Here is a 17,584-nt window from a genome sequence, read left to right on the forward strand (position 1 = left end):
AACTGGCTGAAATACAACACAAGTTAAACTACTAGCCTCACAGGGTGTCTACTGTTAAAGTGAGGACATAAAGTAGGAAAGTGTAGAATCTTATAAATTGGGATGGGGACAGGTGAGAAAACTTTGATGATGCTGGGAACACTGAGTTCCTAAATTCTAGTAGTTTTTTTTGCCAGTAGAAGAGGCTCCCCTACTCCACAGCAGAACAGCCTTCCCACCCACAGTACAAGTGGCCTCCCAACAACCAGTGGTAGCACTTACCCACCCCCAGTGGGAGTGGCCTCTCCACCCCAATCAAAGGGATTAACCCTGAATTTCCTAGGAAGTTGTCATGGCACCACCCCAGGCAACTGTCTTTCAAGGCTGCTGATTCACCTCAGGACCCACCCTCACCACCTCTCTTTGCTTCTATACCTATAACTACATTTGTCCCAGTATGCCCTGAAAGGTGAGGTACAAAGTGTGACCCAAGAGGAGGTGTGCTACACTCCAAAACAACTACTTGAGTTTTCTCATTTATACAGTCACAAATCCAGGGAACAAAAATGGAAATGCATATTAAAGGTTTGGAGCCAAGCATGGTGGCTCACACCTGTAATCCCAGCACTCTGGGAGGCCGATGTAGAAGGATCACTTGAGCCCAGGAATGCGAGACCAGGCTGGGCAACAAAGTGAGACCCCATCTCTATGAAAAATTTTAAAAATTAGCCAGCATGATGATGCACACCTGTGGTCCCAGCTACTCAGGAGGCTGAGGCAGGAGGATTAACTGAGCCTAGGAGGTCAAGGCTGCAGTAGGCTATGTTCATACCACTGCACTCCAGCCTGGGCAACAGAGTGAGACCCTGCCTCAATACAAAAAAATACGGTTTGGGCAAATGGTGGAAAGAACATAAAGTTTAATGCAATCAAGTTTATTGATATGGGCTCACTAAGCAGAAATTCTGCATTAAATGTTGAGCTCAAGGAATTAGAAAGGGCTCTACATTTTTGTTGACTGATCAGCTGAAACATGGACCAAAAGTTGGCCCACAGTGAGGGAATTTATATATCACACCTGCATTGGTTTAACATAGAGGAAGAGATTCAAGGGTTTAGGGAAATTGGAATCTTAGAGCGGATTTGTCATTTAAGGCCTGCTCATTCACACTGGGAGGGCCCAGAAGATAGACCTTTCACTAATACTGTGAGAAATAAATTTGTGAGAGGAGCCCTAGCATCCCTGAAAAGCCTTGTGATTGCTCTTCTCTGTAGGCCACACCTCACAGTGGAAGCTGCAGCCACTGAGTTAAGAATTAAATGCAGTGAGAGTAATTGGATCCTGAGTGGCAGGGGCCAAGCAGCAACACTTAACTGCCAAAGACAAGGTGGGCATGGTTACCATCATGGACAGCAGAGTCACAGCAGCAAGCTGAGTAGTCTGACATATAAAACCTATGGCATTGGCTGGCTGATCACGGTGTTCCTAGAAGTAAAATAGGTAGTAAACCTAGTAAATTCTTACTTGATCTGGATAAGCAGAAAAGTTCTAGGTTAAGTGAACAAAGTCTAACCTGTATCATAAAAACAGAGAGCCAAACCCCTTCAATCAATTTCCAAACGAGATCGTTTTTGAATGAAGGGGAGGTCAGGTCCCCTTGAAGAAGGATCCTATTCACTACTTAAAAGTTATATTAATACACCTCCCCGCCTTATCCAAAGGGACCTTTGACCTTTTACCAAAGCAACTGTACATTGGGGAAAAGGAAATAATTGGACCTTTTCAGGACTACTGGACCCTGGCTCTGAACTGACACTAATTCCAGGTGACCCAAAATGTCACTGTGGCCCTCCAATCAGGGTAGTGGATTATGAAAGTCAGGTGATCAGTGGAATTTAGCTCAGTTCATCTCATAGTGGGCCCTGAACTATTTCAGTGGGTCCCTGAACCCATTCTGTGGTTATTTCCCCAGTTTTGGAATGCATAATTGAAACAGATATAGTCAGTAGCTGGCAGAACCTACAAACTGGTTCACTGACTTGTGAAGTGAGAGCTATCCTGGTGGGAAAGATCAAATGGAAGCCATTTGGAAAAGGCTTCCACTTTTCCCCAGGTTTACTACCTAGGAAAATAGTAAACCAAAAGCAACACAACCTTCCCAGAGGAATTGCAGAGATTTGCACCACCACTAAGATACTTCAAGGATGCAGGGGTAGTGGTACCCACCGAATCCCCATTCAACTCACCTATTTGGTCTGTGAAAAGACAGATGGGTCTTGGGGAATGACATAGATTATCATAAGCTTAACTAGGTGGTGACTCCAATTATAGTTACTATAACAGATATGTTTCATTGCTAGAACAAATTGACACATCTCCTGGTACCTGGTTTGCAGATATTGATCTGCCAAATGCCTTATTCTCCATATCTGTCCATAAGGCCAACAAAACCAGTTTGCTTTATTAAGGCAAGGTCATCAGTACAACTTCACTGTCCAACCTCAGGGGTCTGGTCTCTCCTCAGCCCTTTGTCATACATAACTTAGTTCTCAGAGATCATGGCACCTTCCCTTCCACAAGATATCTCACTGATCCATTACACTGATGACATTCTCTTTCACAAGATATCATACTGATCCATTACATTGAGGACCTAGTGAGCAAAAAGTAGATTCTACTCTAGGCTTATTGGTAAAACATTTGTGTGTCAGAGGATGGAAAATAAATTCAACAAAAATTCAAGGGCCTTCTACCTCAGTGATATTTCTTTTCTTTTTTTTTTTTTTTTTTTTTTGTTCTCTTTTTGAGACAGAGTCTCGCTCTGTCACCCAGGCTAGAGTACAGTGGCGTGATCTCGGCTTACTGCAAGCTCTGCCTCCCAGGTTCACACCATTCTCCTGCCTCAGCCTCCCAAGTAGCTGGGACTGCAGGCACCCACCACCACACCCAGCTAAATTTTTTTGTATTTTTAGTAGAGACGAGGTTTCACGGTGTTAGCCAGGATGGTCTTGATCTCCTGACCTCGTGATCCACCCGCCTCAGCCTCCCAAAGTGCTGGGATTACAGGCATGAGCCACCGTGCCCAGCCCTACGTCAGTGATATTTCTAGGGGTACAGTGGTATGGGAAACATCCAAACATCCCTTGCAAAGTGAAAGATAAATTCTTGCATCTGGCCCCTCATACAACCAAAAAAGAGGCACGATGCCTACTGGGCCTCTTTGGATTCTGGAGGCAACATATTCTCATTTTGGTGTGTTGCTCCAGACCAATTAACACTTGAGATTTTGAAGTAAAGCCCGCAGTCCTGCACAGATAACTTCTGTCTTGTTGAGAAAGCTCTCGGCCTCCTACTGAGCCTTAGTCAAGGCTGAACACTTAACTGTGGGTGACCAAATTACCATGTAGCCTGAGCTGCACATCATGAAGTGTTATCTGACCCACCAAGCCATAAAGTTGGGTGTACACAGCAGCACTCCATCATCAGACGGGGTGATGTGTATGGGACTGGGTCTGAACAGGCCCTGAGGCACAAGTAAGTAATATGAAGAAATGGCCAAATATCCATGGTCCTCACCCCTGCTCTACTGCCCTCTGCCAACCTGCACCTATACCCTCATGCAAAGTTCTCTAAGAACAGCTGACAGATAAGAAGACCCAGAACTGTTTACAGATGATTCTGCATAATACACAGGCACCAACCAAAAGTGAACAGCTGCAGCACTACATCCCCTTTCTGGAACATCTGTGAAGGATACTGGTGAAGGGAAACAGTGGGCAGAACTTCAAGCAATGCAACTCGCTGTCCACTTTGCTTGGGAAGAGGAATGGCCAGACATAGAAGTATACAGTAATTCATGATCTATGGCCACTGGTTTAGCTGGAAGGTCACTGACTTGGAAAAAACATGTTAGAAAATTGATGACAAAGAAATTTAAAGAAGTGGTCTGTGAACAGACCTCTCTGTATGGACAAAAAAAAAAAAAGTGAACATATTTGTGTCCCATGTGAATGTTCACCAAAGGGTGATCACAGCAGAGGGGTATTTTAATAATCAAATGGACAGGGTGACCTATTCTGTTGATACCAGTCAGCCTCTTTCCCCAACCACCCCTGTCATCACCCAATGGGCTCATAAACAAGGTGGCCATGGTGGCAGGCATAGAGGTTATGCAAAGACTCAGCAACATAGACTTCCATCAACATTGACCTGGCTACAGCTACCACTGAGTGTCCAATATGCCAGCAGCAGAGACTCACATTGAGTTCCCATAATGGCACCATTCCCCAAGGTGATCAGATAGGTACCTGGTAGCAGACTGATTACACTGGATGGCTTCCATCATGGAAGGGGCAGTGTTTTGTTCTTACTGGAATAGACACTCTGGATGCGGATTTGTGTTCCCTGAACACAACGCTTTTGCGAGAACTACCATCCATAAGCTTACAGAATGACTTATCCACTGTCATGGCATTTCACACAGCATTTTTTCTGATCAAAGAACTCACTTCACAGCAAATAAAGTGTAGCATGGAATTCACTTGTCTTACCGTGTTTTCCACCATCCTGAAGCAGCTGATTTGACAGAATATTGGAATGGTCTTTTGAAGACTCAATTATAGCACTAGTTAGGTGGCAATATCTGCAGAACTGGGCAAGACTCCCCCAGAAAACTATATATGCTCTGAATCAGCAAGGAATAGATAGTGCTGTTTCTCCCATAGCCAGGATTCTCAGGTCCAGGAATCAAAGGATAGGAACAGGAGTGTCACCTCTTACTGTTACTCCAGTTACACCAGTAAAATGTTTCCTTCCTGTTCCTTCAACTTTATGTTCTGCCTGCCTAGAGGTCTTAATTTCAAAAGGAGAAATGCTTCAACCAGGAGACAATGAACAACAATGGTTCCATTGAATTGGAAATTAAAACTGCCACCTGGCCACTTTGGGCTCTTCATGCCTCTGAATCAACAGACAAAAAAAAGGAGTTCCTTTGCTGACTGGGGTGATTGATCTTTACTCCCAAGGGAAAATGAACTACTACTCACAATGGAGTAAGGAAGAGTATATCTCTCATACAGGAGATCCCTGGGGGCATCTCTTACTATTACTCTGCCCTGTGATTAGGTCAGTGGAAAACTACAGCACAATCCAGACAGAACTACTAATGGCCCAGATGCCTCACTAATGAAGTTGGGGTCACTTCACCAGGAAAAGAATCACAACCAACTGAGAAACTTGCTGAAGGCAAAGGCAATACGAATAAGTAGTGATAGAAAGTAGTTATAAATGCCAGCAATGACCACATGACTACTTACAGAAACAAGGACTCTAATTGTCATGATTATTTCCTCCTTATTTTGTTATGAATACAATTGTGTGTGTGCATATATATATATACATATATATTTGCTTTCTTTCCTCTCTTACTCCCTTATTATATAACATAAAATGTATTGTTTAATCGTAGTATTTAAGTTTTGTTAATTTTACATCGTAGTGTTTAAGTTATAAGATTTCAAGAAGGGTAAACCTCACTCAAGTGCTTTAACTCCTCTTCTGGGAAAAAGGTTATACATTTTGTTGTCTACAGGATAGTAATATCATGTGGAATTATGAACTTGTTATCATCTTTATTTGGAGGTTAAGTATGGTTTCAGGAGGCACGTATGAGTATCAAGTTGGCAAGGGGTGGACTTGTGATGGTTAATTTTATGTGTCAACTTGGCTGGATCACAGAAGCTCAGATATTTGGCCAAAGATTATTTGTGAGTGTGTCTGTCAAGGTGTTTACAGATGAAATGGGTGTTTGGATCTACAGACTGTCCTCCCCAATGAGGACTGATATCACCCAGTCTGTTGAGGACATGAAAAAACCTAAAGGTGGAAAAAGGAAGAACTCACTCCTTCTGCCTGGCCACTTGAGTTGAAACATCTGTTTTCTCCTGCCCTTGGTCTGAGACTTACACCATCATCTCCCCAACTTCTTAGGCCTCAAGACTCAGACTGAACTACACCACTGGCTTTCCTGTATCTCAAGCTAGCAGACAGCAGATCATGAAGCTTCTCAGCCTCCACAGTCACATAAGTCAATTCCACACACATACACAACACACACACACACACCCATATACATACATATACACACACATATACATATATGTCTGGAGAACTCAGGTTAATACAACTATATATTTGGGAAAGGCTTGTCATTAATAACAAGTCCATTTGTTGAAAAATGCTGCTAATGTCCTATCTTATATGGGCAATGGTTTGTCAGACATTAGATCATCCTTATTTTTGCCTTGTTATGTGGCCAGTGTAAAGTTTGTGCCAGCTAGAGCTCTCTGTCAGTTTCGTATTTTCCATTTGCACTTGTGTTGTTAATATGTCTTCAAAATTCATGGCTTCTTTACAATGATATTTTTAACCATTGGCCTCAAATCCTAAGCTTCTTTTTTTATGCTCAGAAACTTTCTATTGGGAGCAGGTTGTGGGCAAATAAATGTCTATTCTTTTACCCTAGGTCAAAGATGCATTCCTAAGTTATTCTTCCCACACCTCAGCCAAAGGTACAACACATCTGCAATCCTGAGAGGCAGAAATAATAATACCTGTACTTACCATAGGCTGATTTGCCATAGGACCTTGGAGAAGCCACTTCACCTACTATTAATTGGCCTTCTGTGCCTTGCAAGAGGATTTTTCAAATCTCAGCCTTCACAAACCACAGTAGAGCTTCTGGGACTCCATACTGTTGCTGTCACAGCCCAGCTTGTGTATACATCCTGCCACAACCAAAACCCAACCAGAGGTAATAATTTCAGATTTTGAAGTTCCCTTTATTTCCACACCTGACCTAATTTTGTAATATGCCCTGGGCCATGCTCTGCACTGACATGTATCCCACCTTCATCAGTCAGATGGAACGTATTAAGCCAACTGGAAAAGGGGTACAAATCTCACCTTTCCCCAGAGCACTATTTCTCATCAATCCTGCTTCAAGGTCATCACCATGTTCAGCAAATGAAGCTCCTTGATGACCCCATCATATAGCTTAGGCACATGGCAGAGAAGGGTGAGTTTGGGCCAGAAATCTGTAAGGACAGAAAAGTAGCCAGTGGCTTTCAAACAATCCCCTGGAGGGCTTGTAGGCTCCTGAGCCTCATACCCAGAGTTTCTGATTCAGGGAGTCTGAGGTGAGGCCTGAGAATTTGCATTTTTTTTTTTTCTTTTTGAGACAGGGTCTCACTCTGCATCCAGGCTGGAGTGCAGTGGCACAATCACGGCTCACCACAGCCTCAACCTCCCAGGCTCAAGTGATCCTCCAACCTCAGCTGCCTGAGTAGCTGGGACCACAGGTGCTCACCACGATACCCAGCTAATTTTTTATTTTTTGTAGAGATGGTATCTCCCTATGTTGCCCAGGCTAATCTCAAACTCCTGTGCTCAAGTGACCCTCCAGCCTCAGCCTCCCAAAGTGCCAGGATTACAGGCATGAGCCACCACACCTGGCCCAAGAATTTGCATTGCTAACAAGTTTTCAGGTGATAACTGAGGCTGCTGGTCCATGGACCACACTTTGAGTAACACTCCAGACTAGGCCAAAGGATACCTGAGTGCTTGTCTGGCATCATCTGGCCATTTTTTCACCCTAGAAATGCCATCTGTTATCTAGCAGCCTGATGCTACTGCTAGCCAGCAGAGACCATCAAGGCCCAAACACATAGATGCATTTTTATGCTCCAGGAGCTTTGCAACATAAAGGAGTTCGCCAATGTAAGTGTCTGGGTCTTTTCTAGAAGCTCCCTAATTTGTAGGATAATTTACCTCCCCATGCTTTATGTAAGTGCAGGGAACAGAGGACAATCAATTCCACACTGACATTTTCTGACAGATCTACATACGTAACAATTGAGATTTGAAATGGTATCATCAAACAAAACCCTGAGTAGTCTTTCAACTGAGTAGTCTTTCAAGCGTTTTCAGCTGGGCGCGGTGGCTCACGCCTGTAATCCCAGCACTTTGGGAGGCCAAGGCAGGTGGATCACGAGGTCAGGAGTTCAAGACAAGCCTGGCCAAGATGGTGAAACCCCATCTCTACTAAAAATACAAAAATTAGCTGGGTGTGGTGGCGGGTGCCTGTAATCCCAGCTACTTGGGAGGCTGAGGCAAGAGAATCACTTGAACCCGGGAGGCAGAGGTTGCAATGAGCTGAGATCACACCACTGCACTCCAGCCTGGGCGACAGAGCAAGACTGTGTCTCAAAAAAAAAAAAAAGAGAGTTTTCATTTTTTCATTTTGTGTTTGTTTGTTTAGTGCCTGAAGGGGGAAATATAAAAGAGTAAGAAATGATACCGGCACAAAGAGACCTGAAAATCTATTGGAGGAAATAAGATATATAAGGATAGGCTCATTGCAGAGCGTGGAATGCAGTCCAGGAACATAGAGCACTAGACATGGAAGCAAGAGACCGTGACCCCATGTCTATTGACGCTCCATTGCTGACTTATTGTGTGATAATGGGGCAAGTCCCTTTGCCTTGCATGCAGTGACAAACTCTTGGAATCTGTATAACTATGCAGACCACAGATATGATATCTCCTGGGACCATGATTCTCTAGGGACAACTCTGTCCCTGAGAGCTAAGCCCCAGGGATGATGGCTAATCCTGGGACACATAAAACTAAGTTATCAGGACCCCCATGGAATTACCCACAGGGAGTAACTCAGAGCAGCAGCCTACTGCAGAGAGGGAAGTAGCACCTACAGCCAGCTGTGCTAAGGCAAATAACTATTTTTTTAGAACTTACCATGTACCAGGTACTATTCTTAGTTAAATGTATCATTTTGTTAATCCACACAACATCCCTATAAGGAACTGTAATTATTCATCTGCCTGGGATGCTTTTCCCAGTCACCCACATGGCTCATGCCCTCACCTACTTCAAGTCTTTGCTCAAATGTCACCTCTACAATAAGGCCATCCCTGACTGCCATTTTTTTTTTTTTTTTAAGACGGAGACTTGCTCTGTCGCCAGGCTGGAGTGCAGTGGCACGATCTCAGCTCACTTCAACCTCTACCTCCCAGGTTCAAGCAATTCTTCTGCCTCAGCCTCCCAAGTAGCTAGGATTACAGGCATGCACCACCATGCCCTGATAATTTTTGTATTTTTAGTAGAAATGGGGTTTCACCATGTTGGCCAAGCTGGTCTCAAACTCCTGACCTCAAGTGGTCCACCTGCCTGGGCCTTCCTAAGTGCTGGGATTACAAGTGTGAGCCACCCTGCCCAGCCCTGACTGCCCTCTTTTAAACTATAACATCTTCCTTCTTTCCCCAAAACCCCTATCCATTTTACTCTGCTCTATTTTCTTGCCTCACATTTATCACATTCTAACATGCTATATATAATTTACTTATGTTCATTGTCTATCTTCCCCTATTAAATGTAAGTTTCCTGTGGGCAGAGATTTCTGTCTGTTTTGCTCACTGATGCATCCCAAGTACCTAAACAGCCAACGGCAAGTCCCAAGGTAAAGGGCTAGACTGCAAATATGTTCGACTTTGTGGGCCATATGGTTTCCATTGCAACTACTCAACTCTGCCTTCATAAGACAAAAGCAGCCACACTAACACACAAAATGGGTGTAGCTGGGGTCCAGTAAAATTTTATTTACAGGCACTGCAACTCAAATGTAATATAATCTTCACACATCACAATATATTTGGCTTTTGTTTTTCAACCACTTAAAAGTATAAAAACTATTCTTAGTTCACAGGCCACATAAACAGGCAGCAGGCTGGAATTGGCCCACAGGTCACAGTTTACCAATCCCTGAGCCAGAATCTATTAAGGGCTCACATGGAAACCACTGTGCCAAGATATTTGAGGGCACTTGAAAGTGGGATGTTACTTTAAGTATATGAAACATTTCTTATACAATCAAGTATACACACATTATTAATGTGTTTGCCAGGTACCTTTCCATAGTACCAAGGTAAATTTAGGTTTATTCACTGTCTGAATCATGTACAACTCATTTAAATTAAATAAGATTGGCACAATGAAGTTGTCAAGTTTTCAAAGATTACATAAAAAGAGTAGATGGTAAACAATTCTGGCCCTAAACATCTCATGCATCTCACATTGTACCTCATTGATAAATCCAAATTTCCAGCATGAGCATTGGATTTGATTTTATTATTGTTTAAAAAGCAATTGACAGAACTAGTAACTAAACCAGTTATGATGCTGTAGGCATTTTCAACTGTGACTCATACTGCGAAATATGGAGTTAGCTCATCTCAACAGGACAGAAAAGGCTGCATGGCACGTGGGTGTGTGTTATTGGATCTAGAGTTTGATCTCGACCCACTTCTCACCTGTGGGCCCTGTGCATTTGAGTTATCTGGTAAGGAGGGTGGGCCCAGATCAGTTTTCACACTGGCAAGTTAGTTCAAGGCTATATTCTTGTAGACACACCCTGCTTTCCCAAAACTGAGGTAGACATTGTGCAATACCATACAAACACACTCAAAGGAAGCAGGGCTTTGGCATATAGTAGGCACTCAATAAATATTTGAATCAACAAATAAATATATGGATAGCTCTGAACTACTAGGGGGAAAAAAAGCACTCATTTGAGTAAACAGGTCATCATTAATTATTATTTACTGTACTCTATTCTTGTCTGCCATAGGAAAAACAAGAGCTATATGCCCCAGTGCTTGACCACTTATTTATTTACTTATTTCACAAAAATTATTAAATACCTACTATGTTCCAGGAACTCTACAGGGAATTTGGCCTACATAGCTAACGAAGACATTACAGGGTTGCATTATAACTTCCATGAGTCCTAGGCACTTTTGCCTTCATGGACCCCTTCTTCCATTAAAAAAATTAAAATTTTTATTTTACATTGTCTTAAAGATAAATATAATTCAGGCCGGATTCATTGCTATGTTCTTAATTATTATACTCACTATTTCTTCAGAATTTAAAAGCAATTAATATGAAAACATTGTCGTGGACCCTAAAATTACCCTGGGCCCTGGGCTCTGTGTCTGTTGTGCCCAGTGGGGCGATTGCCCTGCGACAGTCTCTGTCTTCCTGCCTCCTGTCCTGAATGAATCGGTCCAAATGTTACTCAAAGGAGCTGATCAAAGTAGCTGGGACCTGGAGAGAATTCCCAGGTGTGGGAATCCTGAGAGGTAATTACGGAGAGCTTCCGAATGGAGAGCCTGTGGCCGTGGGGTGAAAGTGAAAGTGAACAGTGACAGCGGCCTGTTGGGTGGTACTGGGTTCTGAGCAGGGCGAGGAGGGGAATCTAGTTGGGGGGATGGGGAGACAGTAGCAATGGCAAGGCAGGATATTACAGCAGCAGCAGGATGAGAAGGGTGACTGCCTCACTCGGTGCAGACTGCTGGCACCTGAGTGGAGTAAGGCTGATGGCTGTGCAGGGAGCAAAGGCAGTGGCCACTGGGGAGGCAGGTGGTGCGGGAGGGGAGAAAAGCAGACCAAACAGCCTGGCTGGGGTGTTGGGGCCCAAGAAGGATGAGGAGGATATTAGCACAGTCCGTGTGGAGTGTCAGAACCTGAGGGTAGATCAAGGTAACCAGCTTCTCACAGTCAGAAAAAGAAGTTACAAATCTGGCCAGGCGCGGTGGCTCACACCTATAATCCCAGCACTTTGGGAGGCCAAGGTGGGCAAATCACTTGAGACCACCCTAGGCGATATGACGAAACCCCGTCTCCATAAAAAGTATAAAAATTTGTCGGGTGTGGTCGCACACACCTGTAATCCCAGCTACTCAGGAGGCTGAGGTAGAATAATCACTTGAGCCCAGGAAGTGGAGGTTGCAATGAGCTGAGATCATGCCACTGCACTCCAGCCTGGGTGACAGAGCAAGACTCTGCCTCAAAAAAAAAAAAAAAAAAAAAAAAGTTACAAATCTGGAAAGTGAAAACTAGAATGAATCTGTGCTGCTGTAGATTAAAATCATCACTATCAGCATGAATTCATGCTTTCCTGTAATATACAGATATAAAACTAGATGTAAATGGGTGTGTGTGTGTGTGTGTGTGTGTGTCCTAGCTCTATACATTGAGAGCCTGGGAGCAGAGACATCCCAATAGCAATGAACACAGCTATCATCCATATTTTGATTTCTGCTATGGTTTGACAGTTTTTATCCCCTACAAAATTCATATATTTAAATCCTAATCCCCAGAGTGATGGTATTAGGAGGTGGGGACTTTGGGAGGTGATAAGGTCATCAGGGCAGAGGTCCAGGTATGGGACTCATGCCCTTATAGAAGAGGCTCAGAGAACTGCCTTGCCCCTTACACAGCCAGAAAGTTGGCAATCTGCATCTCACAGGCAAACCCTCATCAGACCCCAACCATGCTGGCACCCTCATCTTGAACTTACCAGCCTCCAGATCTGTGGAAAATACACTTCTGTTGTTTATAAGCTAACCAGTCTATGATATTTGTTATAGCAACCCAAACAGACTAAGACAACTTCTAAATACCATTTTCCATGAAAAAGAGCCAGGCCCCTCAGGAGAAATGGCAGGAAAATTACAAGATGAGTTTGGAATATCTTGTTGTTCCAGAAGGCAAGGACATGTACAAAGAATGATAGGAACAGGCAAGAAAATATACAAAGAATGATAGGAACACTGGCCAAATTGGGAACAATTTGATGAAAACAGATTAGAACCCAATAGATAAAATAAGCTTCCATGGGTCCATACTAATATAAATAATTGATTGATTAATAAGGAAGAAAGTAAGTTTTTTCTTATAGTAGAATGCCAACTAATTAAATGCAGAATGGATAATTAAATTTAAAAAATCACTGCTTGGCAACCATCATAATAGTATGGTTTCAGACAAGAAATATCAATGGATGCTAAAACTAATGGATGAACATTTCATGCAGAATGGAGTTGTTTTTTTTTTCTTTTGAGACAGGGTCTCACTCCTGTCACTCAGGCTGGAGTGCAGTGGCTCGATCACTGCAGCCTCAACTTCCCAGGCCCAGGTGATTCTCCCACCTTAGCCTACCGAGTAGCTGGGACTACAGGCATGCGCCACCATGCCTGGCTAAATTTTGTATTTTTAGTAGAGACGGGGGGTTTCACCATGTTTCCCAGGCTGGTCTCAAACTTCTGGCCTAAAGTGATCCACCCTCCTTGGCCTCACAAAGAGTTGGGATTACACGGATGAGCCACTGCACCTGGCCAGAATGGGATATTTAAATAGTCTCAAAGTACCTTCCGTAAAATATTTACAAATTTTTTTAAAAAATAATAATTTTACAGTGAAGAGGACTGGCAGACACCTCTTAATTAAGTGATCAAAGTGAACATCACCATTAATAAGACAAACTGAAATTGTGCACCACCTGTAGGATGCAATGAGAAGACCATACACAGCATCACTTCTCTGCTATTCCTACCAAAAATGAAAAGCATTACCTAAATCTAATTCTGAGGAAATATGAGACAAACTCAAATGAAGGAGCATTCCACAGAATAACTGTAATCTACTAAAATGTGAAGGTCATGGAATCAAGGAAAGACTGAGGAACTCCCCTACTCTGAGAGGGTCAAAGAGGCACAACAACCAAATGCAGTGCTTGATCCTGAACTTCTGCGATAATCACATTTATTGGGACAGCTGGGGAAACTGGAATGGTGTCTGCAGATTCAATGTTAGTAATGTATTAATGTTATTAATACTTTTATAACTTAGATAGTTGTATTATTTTTATATAGAAGAATGTCCTTGGGTCCAGGAATGATACATTCAAATATTAAAGTGATACGGCATCATGCAATAATTTCCTCTCCAACAGTTCAGAAAAAAAAGTCATTATACTATTCTTGCCAGTTTTCTTTAGGATTGAAATTATTTCAAAATAAGAAGAAAAAATTAAATTGAAAGTCATCAAACTTTTTAAGGTAAAGCCCAAGACTACAGAATTTATAACTGAACTATTGTGTATTCCCTGAAGGACATTTGCTTTTAGTGATTTTTTCTTAAAAATCAAGTATTCTTTTCTGGCATAAAAATATGACTCCCACATGCAAATCTAATCTACAGTGTGAGAAGTGCAGGCAGTGGTTACGCTGGCAGGAGGATGAAGGGGAAGTGGTGGCTGGCAGTAAGCCCTGAGGAGCTCCCGCAGCTCTCCATGCTTCCTGATCTAGGCTCTGAGTGCACGGGTGTAAGTCCTTTATGTACATGTACACCCTCCTGCTGCATTCAAGGTTTGTACTCTTTTCTGTATACATATTATACTTCAATAAAACATAAACTTAAATTTTTTAAAAAACCAGGTGCAGTGGCTCACACCTACAATCCCAGCAATTTGGAAGGCCAGGGTGGATGGATCACTTGAGCCCAGGAGTTTGAGACCAGCCTGGGCAACATAGTGAGACCTCATCTCTACAAAAAATCAAAAAATGAGGCGGGAGGATCACCTGAGCCTTGGAGGTTGAGGCTACAGTGAGCCGTGATTGCACCACTGCACTCCAGCCTGGGTGACAGAGTGTGACACTGCCTCAATTTAAAAATAAAAAATAAAAAAAGACACAGGCCTTGATCTTAAGAAGTCCACAATCCAGCATAAACAGAAGATGATGACAGCTGTCACAGTTGCATGTCTGACACCCACAAACCAACAGTGAATCACCAGACTAACCTACAAAGAAGCTCTAAATTTGCGGTTCAACAAGAATTCAAGGAATAAGGTTACTGGGGCCCAGGAAAGTAAATAGATACATATATACATTCACTCACTCACTGGTTCTCCGTATACTCACTCATCAACTCCCCATTTCTTCTTCTCAAATAAAAGTTGTAAATGGGTGTCAAGATTCTATTTTGGTACCACCTTATTACTACCTTCCTCTCACAATGGGAGGGAACATTCAAAAGACATTTAAAGGGACTTGGTCATAGGAAGCCCCCAGTGGTACCTTAATAGTTGTGAGCATGTCTAAGTGAGCCCACGTGGTGGAGATGTGATGTCAGAGATGGGAAATGAGGGAGTCAGAAGTGGTCTCACCATGTCACTGGCCTCCAGGTTATCATCCAATGTCCATCATTTCCTACCTGCTGCTAGTGAGAAGACCTTGGTGCTCCTTGGACTGAACTTTGGCCTAGGACTTGCCTGAAGCTCTGTGTACAGCTTTAAACCCCAACTTTCCAGCACTGACCACCATGACAGGACGGAACCCAGTGTCCTGGGGTAAAACCCAAGGGGTAGCAGCTGCACTGGGGAGACATGTACCCAGTCTGGACTAGTCCTTAATGTGTGGTTTTCACCTTCATGAAGGCCTCTCATGCTTCTTTCTTTGACAGGAAGGACTTGGGGGAAGTCCCTCTGATTTCCCCCTGCTGACACTGGTCCGCTTTGGCCGCTTGACGTGTGTGGGCTTCCTGAAGTCTCTGTTGCTGCGGACCAGGGCATATCACTTTGCCCATGGTCAAAGGAAGAAAGGAAAATTTCCACCCACCTGAGATAGGCTGCTTCTATCTTCAGCCTGAGGCAGAGCAGTCATCACTCATCACCAGCACCCCTCAGGTCTTTCTTTGCTGGACTAGTGTCAGGGGCAGGGGCAGGGGCGGGGACAGTTCAATCCAGGAGACCTGGGTTCCAGCTGTAGTTCTGGTTTAGCTGTGCTTCTTCCCTAGCTCTGTGATGACAAGCAAATTATTTTTCATGTCTTCACCTTGGCTTCCTAATCTGGACTATAAGAAGGTATTTTAAAATAATCTCTAAAATCCTCTAGAATATAAATTCCATGAGGATGTCATCTTGCAGCAGAAGAGCTCAATAAAATATTTGATCAAGAAATAGTTAGGCTGAGTGCAGTGGCTCACTCCTGTATTCTCAGAACTTTGGGAGGCTGAGGTGGGCAGATCACTTGAGGCCAGGAGTCTGAGACCAGCCTGGCCAACATGGCAAAACTCCATCTCTACTAAAAATACAAAAAAATTAGCTGGACATGGTGACACACACCTGTAATCCCAGCTACTCAGGAGGCTGAAGCATGAGAATCACTTGAACCCAGGAGGCAGAGGTTGCAGTGAGCCAAGATCACACCACTGCACTCCAGCCTGGCCAAAGAGTGAGACTCTCTCAAAAAATAAAAATAAAAAAATTTTAAAAAGGAAATAGTTGGCCGGGTGCAGTGGCTCATGCCTGTAATCCCAGCACTTTGGGAGGACGAGGCGGGCAGACCACGAGGTCAGGAGTTCGAGACTAGCCTGGCCAATACGGTGAAACCCCGTCTCTACTAAAGATACAAAGAATTAGCTGGGTATGGTGGTGGGCGCTTGTAATCCCAGCTACTCAGGAGGCTAAGGCAGAATTGCTTGAACCTGGGAGGCGGAGGTTGCAGTGAGCTGAGATTGCGCCATTGCACTCCAGCCTGGCAACAGAGCAAGATTCCATCTCAAGAAAAAAAAAAAAAAAAAGGAAATAGTTAAAGGAATCTCTTCTGAGGTCAACTGCCCCATGTCTCATCCACTTGGCCTGCCTCTGATTTCAGCCACAACTATAGTAAATAGACAGTGCCTGCAAAGCTCAGACTCACCCTGTGACAGTGCCCCATCTCAAGGCCAGCCCTACAAGTCTATCTGCTTTCTGTCTTCGTTTCTGGCTCAGCCTCACTGCCTCACAATCTCAAATGCAACAAAAACATTTTACTTCTTCGTCCTTCAAAGTCATTAACTTGCGCATGATCTCAGAGTGTGCAAAGATTTTCTAAACAGAACAAATTAAAAGCATTAAAAGATTTTCTAAATAGAACAAATTAAAAGCATTAACCATAGGAAAGACTAGCGATTTGAACTAATATTCCTAAAAAGACATCGTTAGGAGAGTCAAAACGCAACTATGAGCTAAGAAAATATATTTGCAATATATGTATTTAGCAAAGGACTCATATCCAAAATAAAGAACTGCTGCAAGTCAGTAACAGAAAGATCAACAGCCAGCCACCAAAGATTACATATTATTCCATTCATATAGAATTTAAAAATGGGTAAAATTTCCATTAATGGTAACAGAAGTCGGAATAGTGATTATCTTTGAGTGGAGTATTACAGAGAAGGACTACAAGGGGAGGTGCTGGGCTGATGGAAATGATCAGTATCTCAATCTCAGTAATGATTCCACAGATGTATACAACGGATTTTATGTAAAATTCATCAAGTTGTATACTTTGTACACTTTGCAACAGATAAGTTTGAGTTCAATAAAAAAGGGGGTGGGAATCGAGGCTGTTTAGGTCACATACTCACTCCTGCATCCAAGGGAATAGTGTGTTGATTGGCTTGGGACGGGGTCCTATGGCCCATCCTGAGGGCTGAGGATGGAGCCCACCCAGACCAAAAATGGACAGAGGAGGGAATCTCCAAGGGGGATTGAAAAGTATTTGCAGAAGATGAGGAAAAAGATGTTCTAAGGGAGACAACTAATTTCTAATGGTCAGGACAGAGGTGGGCCTTACCTTTAGCAAGTGGAGCTGGAAAATATAGGAGAGAGAGAAAGACAGAGACACAGAGACAGAGAGACAGGGG

At 43.2% G+C, this 17,584-nt stretch overlaps 1 protein-coding gene and 1 long non-coding RNA gene across 3 annotated transcripts in view, besides 1 other annotated feature; both read right to left on the reverse strand.

The window, feature by feature from the left end:
• The window catches only part of TNFSF4 (TNF superfamily member 4), a 277,864-nt gene that overhangs the window by 222,788 nt on the left and 37,492 nt on the right, over positions 1-17,584 (reverse strand). Inside the window, exons 1-2 of one of the 2 annotated variants that reach the window (XM_047429902.1) lie at positions 6,944-14,355; positions 6,602-6,765 (exon numbers count right to left, since the gene is read on the reverse strand). The exons of the other annotated variant lie outside the window; for it this stretch is intronic. Coding sequence (XP_047285858.1) covers positions 6,602-6,619 — 18 coding nt within the window. The 5' untranslated portion in view covers positions 6,620-6,765; positions 6,944-14,355. Of the gene's footprint in view, positions 1-6,601; positions 6,766-6,943; positions 14,356-17,584 lie in introns of those variants that run through there. 2 annotated transcript variants of the gene reach the window in all.
• The window catches only part of LOC100506023 (uncharacterized), a 242,096-nt gene that overhangs the window by 160,598 nt on the left and 63,914 nt on the right, over positions 1-17,584 (reverse strand). The gene's annotated exons all lie outside the window — the stretch shown is intronic.
• Positions 15,042-15,591: an enhancer, noted in NCBI's record as "active region_2104". NCBI's record gives its function as "activates an Ori minimal core promoter by ATAC-STARR-seq in GM12878 lymphoblastoid cells {active_cell/tissue: GM12878}" and the evidence as "EXISTENCE:reporter gene assay evidence [ECO:0000049][PMID:35858748]".

The sequence above is a fragment of the Homo sapiens genome, chromosome 1 (assembly GCF_000001405.40).
Source record: "Homo sapiens chromosome 1, GRCh38.p14 Primary Assembly".
Classification (NCBI taxonomy): domain Eukaryota; kingdom Metazoa; phylum Chordata; class Mammalia; order Primates; family Hominidae; genus Homo; species Homo sapiens.